The sequence below is a fragment of the Homo sapiens genome, chromosome 12 (genome assembly GCF_000001405.40).
Source record: "Homo sapiens chromosome 12, GRCh38.p14 Primary Assembly".
Lineage (NCBI taxonomy): Eukaryota > Metazoa > Chordata > Mammalia > Primates > Hominidae > Homo > Homo sapiens.
Window position 1 is genome coordinate 9089818 of NC_000012.12, and position 13465 is coordinate 9103282.

A 13465-nucleotide genomic window follows, 5' to 3' on the forward strand; every position below is an offset into this window, starting at 1 on the left:
ATATTATAAAATATCCATATATTATTATATTACCCACATATATTATATATTATTGTGGACTATATATTATTTAGGTTTACTTACTTCAACCAACAGAGGCTTGATGACTGTGTCTTTCCTTCCGTGTTCAGGAACTGAAGGCACCTCAGTCCCACACAGCTCTTGAGACTCTAGTGCCTCTGCGCTCACAGTGAAATTCACATTTCCTGAAAAAAAAGGCCAGTAGAAATGAATAGCATCTTCCCCTTCCTCCATGCCTCCAAACTCAAGATTTAGAAATGTTCAATGCTCTGTAAACTTTTGTTTTATTAAAACACAGAAGCAGGAACGGAAACATGCAAATGAGAGGTGAATGATACTGAGAATTCAAGGTGGAGATGTTGAGGATATCCTTGTAGGCATCTTAGAATAAAAGGCAAAGGAAAAAAATCGCAGCATCTAGTGGTCTTTTCCTGAAGGAAGTAGCACTCAATATAAGGTTCCCACTGCCATATACAATCTTTGAGTAGAGAATTATCTCTAGCAGTTTTTTGCTCACCTAATGACTTTGGGGTTACTGCCCAGGACACAGTTTGCCGCCCGTTTGCACAGATGCAGTGAGGCGCTTGTTCCTTCTCCACTGGGACAGCTAGGAAGGCGGGAGAGGCTTCCAGCTGCACACTGACCTGAAACCACACATAAGAAAGGGAGTAGAGAGGGAAGGAGAACAGAGGGAGAATGGGTTTGAAGTAAAGCATCTTGAGGAATTGGTTAGATTTCAGGTTGCCTCACATTAAAGATGATATAAATGAAGATCAAGTACCTGAAATATATTTAAGTGGATCTTAATGTATCAGATTTACACAGGTAAATCTGAGTTATTTTGGAAGCAACCTGCTCTTTCACATGATGGGACCAGAGGAAGGGAAAGGTAATGATGGCATGCTGCTCTACCTCTTTGGTCTGGAACTTTGACCATTCCCCCGGATCTCCCGGCAGAGGATACAAGACTTATAAACAGTTATGGTTTCAGCAAAGGTAAGATGCTCACAAACGACTTTTAAAATTAGGTTTAATATAATGAATGAGCTACGAAAAGTTAAATATATGAGATCGTAGAGGTTGAAACCTTGTAGAATCTGTCATGAGAATAGAGTACTGACTTTTGTCACCCCTGTCAGAATTCTTCATACCACACAAATACTAACTTTGAAGGGTTATAAGGGCTAGAAACTTGCTTTATGGTGCAATTTGGTATTTGGAGATCTCAAAACCTGTAACTTTTACAATCATGAATATCTAGTAAGCATATTTTGCATACAAGAGTTTGCAGTATTCCTAGGAATGCAACTTTTAATTTACTTGATGGCTACCTTGTATTTAATTTAGGAAAGAGATCCTTACCCGGATGCATTTGGGAAGGTAGTTTAGGACCGTGGCCTTGAGTGTGAAGGCCTCTCCACGAATCACAGAGTAAGGCATTGTGAGCTCCACAAAGAAGGGCTGGAAGGCTCGGAGAGAGGCAGTGGAAGAGATACCAAGTCCAGCATCTTCAGACAGGCAGAAGGCCCCTGCCTTCCACTCGGTGATGGTGTCAGGGACTGTTACTCCTACCTCAGCCACACCTGCTGAGCTGGAGAGGAGTGTAAGTGAAGAACAGAAAGTAAGCAGTTAAATACATCCTTTCTAGGGAGAGAATCCCTAGGAATGATTCTACTGCCATGACTTAAAAACACTCAATAGAAATACCAATAATGGAGAGTATAATCAAGGATTGAGATGGGAATATAAGTCCTTTTCTTCCAACTGTTTTTAATTGTAGTATATCAGAATTGTAGCATAATCTTTTACAGACAATATAGTTATAAATTTAACATGCAGTTTGAGATTGTTCTTAAGTTCTCTTCTCTAAAATGCTATTTCACTGAGGGCTGCTTTATAATTTTAAATTCTACTACTATTGTGTATAGTGGGCCTGACTGAATCTGTATTTAACTCAGGATTGCTAACCAGTGAGGGATCTCTTACAGGCAATCTGTGCAGTCCTTGGTTGTATTAGGTCCTTATGCCCATTTTCTGGAAATCTTAGAATTAAATTTGCACAAAATTTTTTAGCTCTGATGCAATTAGATTAGTAAGACTTCTTAGCTGATGTATTTATGTTAAACATCTCCTGAAATTAGCAATGCGTTTGAAAGAAGTACTTCAGTACTGAAAAATTAGCTAACAGCTCCCAGTTTCTCCCTGGAAGGGCTTCGTCTACCCACTTTATCAGTTGCTGACTGAGTGTTGGGCTTCTAACTAGCCTGCACTGGGAAGCAGAAGGAGCAGGGAAACGACAGACTTACAGGAAGGCTGAAAAGCAGTAAGGGCACTTCCCATGCCTCCTTCCCCTGGCTCGCCCCACGGATAAAACCAGGTCTGAACATACCCCTGGGAATAATTTGTCTATGCATCAAGCACCCCAATGTTTACAGCTCGTACCTAAGGGTCTGGCTCCTAAATCACCTAGCTCCAGGAGTAGATGGAGCTCTGCAATCAGGAGTCTCCCTAGACCACAGTGAACACAGAGGTGGTTTTAAATAGGCCTTTGAGCAATGCCAGTGGCTACCCGCCCCCACCACCCCTTGGCTCAATACAGAGAGAACAGGCAAAATCTCCCATTTCTGGCTGTCTCCTAAGGGTTGGGCTTCTAAACAGCCTGCATCTGGGAGTGAAAGGGAGAAGTAAACAAGACTCCAGGAGCCTGAAAGGGAGTATATGGCCATTCCGGCTCTTTCTCTCCACCTGCCCCACTGGCTTGTTTCACGGATAAAACTCTGTTTCCAGTGTCTCTCTGGAAGGAATTTGTTCACTCCCCTTGGTGCAAATGTACATTGCCACAGCCATTATGGAAAACAGTATGGAGATACCTCAAAAATTTTAAAATGGAAACTACCATATGTCCCAGAAATCCCTCTTCTGGGTATACTCCCAAAGGAAATGAAATAAGCACCTTGTAGAGATATATGTGTTTTGGTGTTCATTACAGCATTATTCACAGTTGCCAAGATATAAAAACAACCTAAGTGTCTGGGTGAATGGATAAATAAATTGTGGCTATGCGTAATGGAATATTATTCAGCCTTAAGTGGAAGAAGATCCTGCCACTTGTGACAACATGGATGAACCTGGGGGAGATTATGCTAAGTGAAATAAGCCAGACACAGGACAAGTACTGCGTGATCTTACTTGTATGTGGATGCTAAAAGAAGTTGAATACATAGGAACAGAGAGTAGAAAGGTGGTTGGGGTTGCAGGGATGGGAAGAAGCAGGTCAAAGGGTACAAAGTTGAAGTTACGTAGGATGAATAAATTTAGAAATCTAAAGTACAGCATGAGGACTGCAGTTGATAATACTGTATTGGATACTGAAACTTGGCTAAGAGGATAGATTTTAGGTGTGCTTGCTATGCACACAAAAATAGGTAACAATGTGAGCTAATGGATGTGTTAATTTGCTTGACTGTAGTAATCATTTCACTATGTGTATGTGTATATATATATATCAAAACATCATGTTGTACATCATAAACATATAAAACAATAAAAACAGAAAAACTAGCAAAGAGTTGAAAATAGTCAGGGACCTCTATTGTTGCATATTGCATATGCAGGAAGTTACTTACTTTACCACCACCAAATCCCAGATCCATGTCTCAGGGAAGTACTTTCGTACGGTCTCCGTGTGAGGCTCTTCAACATGCACCAGGCGTGCATGGCCTCTTCCCATTACATCTGACTCTATGGTGAGTGAGGAAGAAGACATTACAATAAACATACAGATAAAGCTTATGAGAGAATGTAATAGTTGCCACCAAAAAAAAAAAACAAAAAACAAATCGTCTGATGAAATAGAGAGGAAGGAGGAGAGGGCGCTTGGGTCATCAAGGAAAGCTTCTTTGAGGAGGAAATATGTTGGTTGACTTAACAAGCCAGGAGAGGCCGGGCGCGGTGGCTCATGCCTGTAATCCCAGCACTTTGAGAGGCCGAGGCCGAGACGGCGCCACTGCACTCCAGCCTGGGCGACCTGAGCGACAGAGTGAGACTTCGTCTCAAACAAACAAACAAACAAACAAACAACAAAAAAAAACAAGAATAAGCTAGGAGTGAGCTGGGGGAGGAGGGTCATAAGCAGAGGCTATAGAGACTTTGGCAGACAGAGGCTTGGATTGTCTGTGGGGCACAAGGACTCTGTGGAGTCCTATGTGGCTGCTGCCGCTGTGCTAAGTGGAGAGTGTTATGACACAAGGCCGTGAAGAGGGGCAGGAATCCAAGTTTCCATTGGTGTGCTCCTCTGCAGGAGCAAGGAAAAACTGACACACATGTTATGACAGTGGCTTTGAGAAACAGTTTACAGGAGGGAAAAGTTTAATAATAATAAAGACTTTTTATTCTCTATCGTGTCAGAAGATTACAGTTAGTTTCCTTCACTCTATTCACCTTCTATTAAGGGTGTGCTGGTCAATATTTCACAACCAGCTCTCTGGAAAAAAAAATTGTGCATATATATATATATATATATATATATATATATATACCTATACATGCATAAATTTACTATATATCTTACTGATAAAGGATTATACAATATAATTTATAAATAATAAAATATGCGGTAGGCTTCATAGTGAATTCCATAGAGCCAACTGATTCTCCTTAAATGCTTTCCTTGATTTTTGACCCTCTTTTCTCTGTACTCAACTTATCCTCAATCATGATTTGACAATATGGGACTATAAATAAATGCTTGATTACTATTCAGTTCATCAAAGAAGTAGCTCATGTCATTGATGAATGTGTGTGGTTCCAACATAAATATTGGCTGATGTTTTGGGGAAGTTGAACAGCTTTTTTACCTGACTGATGGAGAATGTAGTGTTGTTGTGTGAACATTTCTATTTCTGTTTACACTAATCCTACGCTTGGAAACTTTCTCTTTCCTTTCAGCCTAACACATGTACCTCCATTTACTAGAATTTGAGTTTATATTACTATATGACCTTGAGCAATAACCTTAATATGTATGACTCACATGTCCTTTTTGTTTGTTAATTTTTGTCACATTGTATCTTTTAAAAAATTTAAAATTTGGTGAATATATTAGGCAATATATATTTATTAATTTTTTGTTTACCATAAAAACCTACACGTAGACCTTCAGGTCCATGCATTTCATACTGTTGAAGCTGTGGACACATTTTGGGTTTACGAATCTTTGAGTTGGTGAATGCCTTTAAGCCCATGTCCTGCAAAGAAAATTATCATCTAATCAGTAAATATATATTATAAAATATACATAGGTAGCTACTTCTTTTTATTGAATTTGACAAGCAATCCAGTTAACTTAAATTAAACTTTTAACATTCACATCTGTAGAAGGGATATTTATATACTTAAGGATGTAATTTTATTCTTTTCATTAAACTCTTTCAACAGTAATTATTTTGTATATGTGATTTTAATAAACATCACAGAGCAATTAATTCCTGTGAAAAAAGAAAACTTGAATAATACTCCAAAAAGTTCCAGCTTAGTTCAGCAGCTTTTCGCAGATCTGCTGCTATTAGTAGAGAAGCCACTTACCTCTTTATATCCCATTACCCTCAACTAGGACATGAAGGCATTCAAATACAGACTCTTTTCCATGTGTAATATTTTAAGAAGCTTAAGATCAGACCATCTGCAACATAAGGAGTTTACCTCTAGGAAGCTGTACATATCCTTTTCATTTGTACTTGATACTGGAGTATATGTGATTCCATTAATATAGACATTATGACGATTGATGCAGTCTTCATTGTCCTGGTCATTCAAAGGCCCAGGGAAGCCAGTGAGGTCCTTTTCTGGTAGCAGGTTGTAAACCTGTACAAATACGAAAGACAAAAAGGCAAACTTATTTGTGACTTTTTTTTTTTTTTTTTTTTTTTTTTTTGAGACGGAGTCTCGCTCTGTCGCCCAGGCCGGACCGCGGACTGCAGTGGCGCAATCTCGGCTCACTGCAAGCTCCGCTTCCCGGGTTCACGCCATTCTCCTGCCTCAGCCTCCCGAGTAGCTGGGACTACAGGCGCCCGCCACCGCGCCCGGCTAATTTTTTGTATTTTTAGTAGAGACGGGGTTTCACCTTGTTAGCCAGGATGGTCTCGATCTCCTGACCTCATGATCCACCCGCCTCGGCCTCCCAAAGTGCTGGGATTACAGGCGTGAGCCACCGCGCCCGGCCTTTGTGACATTTTTTAAGTTCAAGGAGAAAAGAACAGGAATAATGAACATCCGTCTTTCTTTGAGCGCTCTCATTGCTTTGATGATTTATAGAGGGTATGGATCATTTTCTTGACACAGTGTTTTCATTTTGAAGATGTTTAACAATTTTAGGAAAAACCAAACACTCCATCTAAGTACTCATCTAAGTACTAAGTACTACTTCGTTACACAGTTCAGAGGCCACCACTAGACTCAACACTGGAATGAAATAAAACTTTATTAATTGAAAAATCGAGGTCTGCTGTATTTGTGACATTGCACAAAGCTTTGAGATGATAGAAGGAAATGATAGTTTTGTGCTTATCTTGTGGTGAGCAACTGACTCAGTATATAGCAAAGTTAATGGGTGCATGTTCTAAACAGGCACACGAATAGGAATATCCTCTCTCCACAGGACACGATGGCATTTTCTTAGGTATTATTAGTGGAAACAAAATGCTCCAGATCTTCATATAATACATACAACTTTAACCGTAAAATTCTAGGCATGATGCTTTCAAGTCCATTTGAAGGTGAGAAGTAAGACAGACATAAAAATTGTGATAGTTACATTGCATTATATTCGTAGGAGTTTAAAACTGATTGACAAGAACAGATGAGCAAAGTGAGTGGTGTGATGAAATTAGACACTTTCTCAAAGTATCTTAACATTTCTCATTTCCTCTCCCTGCTTTTATTGTGGCATATTGCATAATTATTGTCTGTCTCATCTATGGGACAGACAATGTAAGTTCCATGAGACATACATTTTTATCTTTCCAGTAGCTCACTGCTTGATCTCTACTAGCACTTAGTATAATACCTAGAACACAGTGGGCATTAAATAAATGTGTTGAATGAATGACCTACACTAGTAGCAGCAAAGTGTTTCATTGGTAAGACACTAATCAAAGCTTGAGAAGAGTTGGTGTTTTAACTCAGGTCTACTACTAAATCCCTGAAAGCTTCTGCTTTATTATTAATAAATAGGACTGTCTGCCTTATCTACCCATCAGGGTTGTTATAATTTGAAAAATTCTTTGAGAATTATAAAATTATATTATAAAAGTATAAAACATGTATATTATTTTCCCACATATCCTCTTGAGATCCTACTGTTGAAATGTACTTGATGCTTCCTTTAGAAGTATTCTAATATTTTCAGTTAAAATCCCATTAGAAGGACAAACAAGTAAGAAACATTTTTTTATAAGTTTCTATTTCAGGAAAATAAAAATATAAATTTCTCTTTGTTAAATTATGGTAGTAGAAAAAGCTTCAGTAAGAGGTTATTACAATTGGTCTCATATTAAAAATTTGAAGATGTGAGCAAACTACTATTAGTACATGCTATTAACTAGTTTTTGTTGTTCCAATTCAGCATATCCTTTTGGTATTTCTTCTATTAGCTCCATATTTTCAAAGAGTTCAGTTATCAATGTCAATTATATAGTAGTTCAATTTCCCTAAGTTTTGTTCCTCAGAGATAATACATATGTTCCCTCAGAAATTATGTGTAGCTTGGGACAGCAATTATTTCAACTGATGTAATTCTTTTTTTTTTTTTTTTTTTGACACCAAGTCTTGCTCTATTGCCCAGGCTGGAGTGCAGTGGCACGATCTCGGCTCACTCAACCTCTGCCTCCTGGGTTCAAGTGATTCTCCTGCCTCAGCCTCCTGAGTAGCTGGGATGACAGGCGCCCGCCACCACGTCTGACTAATTTTTGTATTTTTAGTAGATACGGGGTTTCATTATATTGGCCAGACTGGTCTCAAACTCCTGATCTCAAGTTATCTGCCTGCCTTGGCCTCCCAGTGTTGGGATTACAGGCGTGAGCCACCAGGCCCAGCCATAATTCTTATAAAAACGGAAATCTGATATTTCATTTAGCCTGTATAGCCTCAGTGCAGGTATATGTATCACTTTTGTTAGGCTTTTTGAAATGTTGAAACTAGTTTGACAACTCCTATTACTGGTTGCATGGAGCTCTGGGATTTTAAGGACTTTGGGTACTGTATGGTCTTTTTACATTTTAAATATATAATTTTCGAACGGCTTCCCCGGTTGCTCAGTTAATCCTTTCTTTTATTTTGCATAACTGCACTTCTCATATAGCACTTTTCACAATCTGCTCTGTATTCTCTCCAGCCTTGCATATACGGATGTCCTGACACAATCAGAAGATTTGAATTTGTATTGCTATGTGCTCTTGAGCAAGAAGCTTAACGTGTCTGAATAACGAGTCCTTTTTTGGTTGTTAATTTTCATCACATTTTGTCCTTTTAAAAATTCTTTTATTTGATTCAATATATTGTATTTTGTTTATTTTTTTAACTGCAGAAGTGAGTAGTTATATATATATATATATATAATTCCTTACCAATGAAAGCCCACAAGAGAGCTCAAAGCAATTAATTCCTAGATAAATATAATTTTAATTGATCTTATCCTACTTATCCAGTCATTTTTCCTTGCTCTGAGCCCCTGGCACGGCCCTTCTTGATTCCTGAGGCTGCCAGGAACTCACCGAGGACGCCGAGAGCTCAGCATCAGGCTTCATGAGCAGCACGCTTTGGTCCACAGCACGGAGGGCGCAGACGGACTGAGGAGCCGCTGTGACTCGCAGGTGGGCGTGTGAGGCTGGGAGACTTTGTGATGGGCTGAAGCTCAAATCCACCTGTGAAATTGGAACAAAAGGTCAGAAAAGCAAATTTCCAGGTTTACCCATGCATTCACTCGCATTTGCAGAGTGTTCCTCATGTACAATGTATAACCACTCTGCTTGACTTCGTGGAGGGTTGGCATTGTGTCAATCCTGAAGCTTTTTGTTCCCTACACTTCTCTTTCATTCTCAAGAATCACTTGAGCCAGTAGAATTATTTCTAATTATTCTTATAAATTACTAGTCATGAAATGCCATTTTTATCTTTGATACACGGCAAGGTGCTCATTAATTGTGGTGGGACATGCATGGGTCTAGGTGCTCTTGCATTTTTCTTTTGGCTCCTTAGTAGTCTTAAAAACTTGCTTACATATTTCCCAACGTTTCATCATAGAAGAAGGGAATAACATACTCTGAACTGTGTAATTGGTAAGAGGCACTGCTAGGAGAAGTTTGAGAGTTTTGTATAAGGAATCAAGTGATTCTGCTTCTTAGTGTGACTCTGCCACTACCTTGCTGAATGTCTCTGGGGAATTTGTTTAACCCTTTTGGCCCTAATGTTCACATGTGTAAAACAAATGATAACAATAGTAACTTCTAGTTTTACATGTTGAAGATTTTATGATCTAAAACACACACCTTGTTGGCCAGACAATTTTCAACATCATATTTTGCAGAATCCCCAATCACGTCCCCGGTAGGTAAAACAGCATAGATGAGCAACCGAGCGACAGGAGCAATGTCTGACTTCACAGGGATTGAGATGGAAAAATGGCCCTTCACTGGGGCACAAAGAGAATGAGAGGAAGCCATCATAGGTTAATGACTATTTCCATTAGTAGATGTAACAGACATAATAAACAGTAGATGTAACAAATGGATGATTACCTCTAAGGACTCTAGCTTTAGAAAAAAACCCTATCAAAGCCCTCTCTCCTCTCATAAATCATATACTCTGTTGATTTTTCACCAGCTTTAAGCTTCAGCTCACCCACCTAATGTTCTGATGCTAGTTAAGGGTATGAAGACATCCAATTCACTACCATTTGATCTAGGCCTCATACTAGAAGAGGGAAATAGAACCTGAAGTTATGAGATGTAAGAGTAAGAGTTCAACACATTGTATTCATGCTACATGCTCTTTAACCTTCTATGAGCCAATATTTGGTTCTTTCTCCATAAGAGGAACACCATGCTCCTTCAGAAGTTATTTTTTGATGCCTATGTAGATTCTTTAGAGGTTGCATTAAGTTTCCTTCAGTCTGCTATGGTGCTTCTGTGTTGCTACAAGAACTAATGAGAGAGTAGATTACTGATACTTTTCTAGCAAGTTATCTTTTAGAGTCTACTAGACTAGGAGCAACCTTCAAAGGTTTATATTATGACATATTTGCTCATGGCAAGAGTCCGCTTCAGTCGGTAGAAGTACCCAATTTAATGCTTCATAAATCATAACTATCTTGAAAGGGAAAAAAGATATTTATAATAATATAAATGACATAAATGACTCAGCACAAGACCTGGTATATACAACATACCTTGAAATCGTACATTTTCTCCACCCCATTCTCTAACACAATTCTCATTTTGAGAAGAGGTTCAAGAATATTTATGGTTTAAAAATCTGGAATAAGCATAGATTATACACAACAATATTTTATGTATTTTATTTTTCCCCCTTTGTTCTTATTTATTTATTTATTTATTTATTTACTTTTATAGAGATGGGGTCTCACTATGTTGACCAGGCTGGTCTCAAACTCCTGACCTCAAGAGATCCTCCCATCCCGTTCTCCCAAAGTACTGGGATTACAGGCGTAAGCCATCATAGCTGGCCCACACCAATATTTTAAATAACGCAAAGAAAATAGGCTGAAAAAAAAGACAACACATATTTGATAAAGGGTGAGAAAAAAACCATTATTGTTTTCCCTCCCTCAACTTTCTTTTAATTAATATTAGATGGAAATGGTCTCTCGTTACTTGAAAGTATTCCTGATATTCCCAGCTCAGGAATGGAAAACCAAACATCATATCTTCTCACTCAGAAGTAGGAGCTAAGCTATTAGGAAGTGGCAGCTAAGCTATTAGGAAGTGGGAGCTAAGTTATGAGGATGCAAAGGCATAAGAATGATACAATGGACTTTGTGGATTCAGGGGGAAGGGTGGAAGGGGGTGAGGGATAAAAGACTGCAAATTGGGTACAATGTATACTGCTCGGGTGATGGGTGCACCAAAATCTCGGAAATCACTACCAAAGAATTTATTCATTCATGTGACCAAACACCACCTGTTCCCCCAAAAACCTATGGAAAAAAAGGGAAAGTATTCTGATACTTCCGTGGTGTAAGGCTGAATGGGTCAGAATGGGGCAGCAATGCAGAGATGATGGAAATACTCACTGTCTTCCTGCTTCACAAGCAGTCCATGAGTCCCAGTTCGGACAATGCCTCCCTTTGCCATTATCTGCAAAAAAGGAAATAAAAAGAAATTAAATGTGCCAGAGAGAACACGCTTCAGTCTCACTTCAATATACTTGTTTTATTGAGTCCCTGCCGGCAATAATTCACCTCAAGAGAAATCAAACTTTCAAAAGGAACATGGATAAGAAGTTGAAGTAATGACATCTAAAGAGCTTCATGATTACTTGCTCCACAGAGAGCTTTTGTCTACAGTGAAGTCAACGCAGTAACCTCCCTTCTCACCAGATAATAGAAGGAGAGCTTCTTCAGCCCCAGCAGGGTGCCTCCATTCAGAATATAATGTGCCTGGACTGTCTGAGTATGGCCACAGGGTAGTTCATGAGACATGGGCTCAAGGTGGACAAAGCTCTTGCTTGGGGAGAACACAAGATAAGCAGTGTGATGTGCCTCTTCGTGTTCTTCTGACACCCACTGGTAGCCGTAACAGGGACTACGATCCTTGTAATTGACCTAATGAATTAGAAAAATTATATTATTTTTAGATTATACGTCATAAAGATTAATGTTCTCACAAAACTACGTAAGTTTACTGTCCTACCTTAACTAGTAGCTAGAAATCTTTTGTTCCACAATGAAAAGTGGGAGAAGGACCCCTGATTTTGTTTCTCTGCTTCAAATGTAGGCATGCTTTGTGACTTTACACTGCAGAGCCTCCTGGGATTGAGATTTATATTTCTTAAGAGCATAAAAGGAGGCATCCTTTGCTCTGATTAGCTTGCTTGAAATTTCTTTGACTGCTTTACCTGTGCAATTAGAGACACTGGAGCTATGAAACTTCATTGAGGAGAGTAAATAATCTCTAGAAATGGAAGAACTGTGCTTTCAGAAAGCAGCTGCCTCTTTTAGGGTGGATTTTGAATGGGTATTATGAATAAATAAAATATTGTAACCTTAGGGGTCTGAGAAGACATTGGTAGAAAGCATTGGTTTAAGAGCTGAGCTGATGAATTAGCTGAAGTCTACCTCTTCTGGGCTATCTTAGGCTGATTGCTATTATTATTATTTTTTTGAGACAGGGTTTTGCTCTGGCGCCCATGCTGGAGTACAGTGGCACAATCTTGGCTCAGTGCAATCTCTGCCTCTGGGGCTCAAGTGATCCTCCCAGTCAGCCTCCTGAGTTGCTAGGACTACAGGTGCATGCCACCCCACCCAGCTAATTTTTTGTATATTTTGTAGAGACAGGGTTTCACCACGTTGCCTAGGCTCGTCTCGATCTCCTGGCCTCACGCAATCCACCCACCTCAGCCTCCCAAAGTGCTGGGATTACAGGCGTGAGCTACCGTGCCTGGCCTAGGCTGACTATTTTTAATGCTCCCTGCAATCTGGATTCTAATACCTCAGAGGCCCTATTTGGGTTATATTTCCAACTTTTCTTCCTGTAGAAGTTATTCCTTAGCTCCTTTCAGGCTTCCTCTACCTTCATCCCCAGCTCCCAATAGCACTAGTGAATCCTTGAGCAAAACATTTTGTTCATATCTTAATGTATATTTTGGTGACAACACATATATGATCACCCCAAACAGGGAACAGGTAGAAATAATAATTTCATTGTCAAGACTAGCACAGTGCTGGCACGTGGAAAGCATTCAAGACACTTTTTGAAATGAGTAAACATTCAAATTAGAGGGAGGTGCTTTTATGCCATCTATTAAAGCTAAATAAATAAAATGTATTATTTATTTCTCTATAACAAGGTAAAACTCTAAAGAGGCAGGCGTTTTCCATTACCATGATTATGTAATATATATTAAATATGTATTGTATATCCATGTATCTATAGACATGTCTACATCTCTCTTGATGAATAGAGGACTGCATGCTATACCGAATAACTTATATTGGTATGAACAGGTCATCTGGAGAAAATTAGAATAGCAAGACAAAATAAAGTAAGGTAATAATTTTTGGAGTATATATATTTAAAACTAAATGCTAATTATGTTAGAATTGGCTTTTATAGTAAAAGTATCTAACAGTTAAAGGGGGCTTACTAAGTGATTCAACATGTATGATTTCACTTAATCTTCACAACCACCCCAAGAGTCAGGTGTTAGTATT

General features: G+C 39.0%; 2 protein-coding genes across 8 annotated transcripts in view; one reads left to right on the top strand and one right to left on the bottom strand.

Moving 5' to 3' along the window:
- Positions 1-13465, top strand: part of KLRG1 (killer cell lectin like receptor G1) — a 265527-nt gene that overhangs the window by 139774 nt on the left and 112288 nt on the right. The window lies entirely within an intron of this gene.
- The window catches only part of A2M (alpha-2-macroglobulin), a 48522-nt gene that overhangs the window by 22110 nt on the left and 12947 nt on the right, over positions 1-13465 (bottom strand). For all 5 annotated transcript variants that reach the window (NM_001347423.2, NM_001347425.2, NM_000014.6 and 2 more), the window contains 10 exons: positions 11630-11857; positions 11327-11390; positions 9564-9706; positions 8790-8939; positions 5722-5883; positions 5156-5267; positions 3648-3762; positions 1384-1612; positions 539-665; positions 85-206 (listed from right to left, as the gene is read on the bottom strand). In NM_001347423.2, the coding sequence (NP_001334352.2) occupies positions 85-206; positions 539-665; positions 1384-1612; positions 3648-3762; positions 5156-5267; positions 5722-5883; positions 8790-8939; positions 9564-9706; positions 11327-11390; positions 11630-11857 (1452 nt within the window). The remainder of the gene's footprint in view (positions 1-84; positions 207-538; positions 666-1383; positions 1613-3647; positions 3763-5155; positions 5268-5721; positions 5884-8789; positions 8940-9563; positions 9707-11326; positions 11391-11629; positions 11858-13465) is intronic.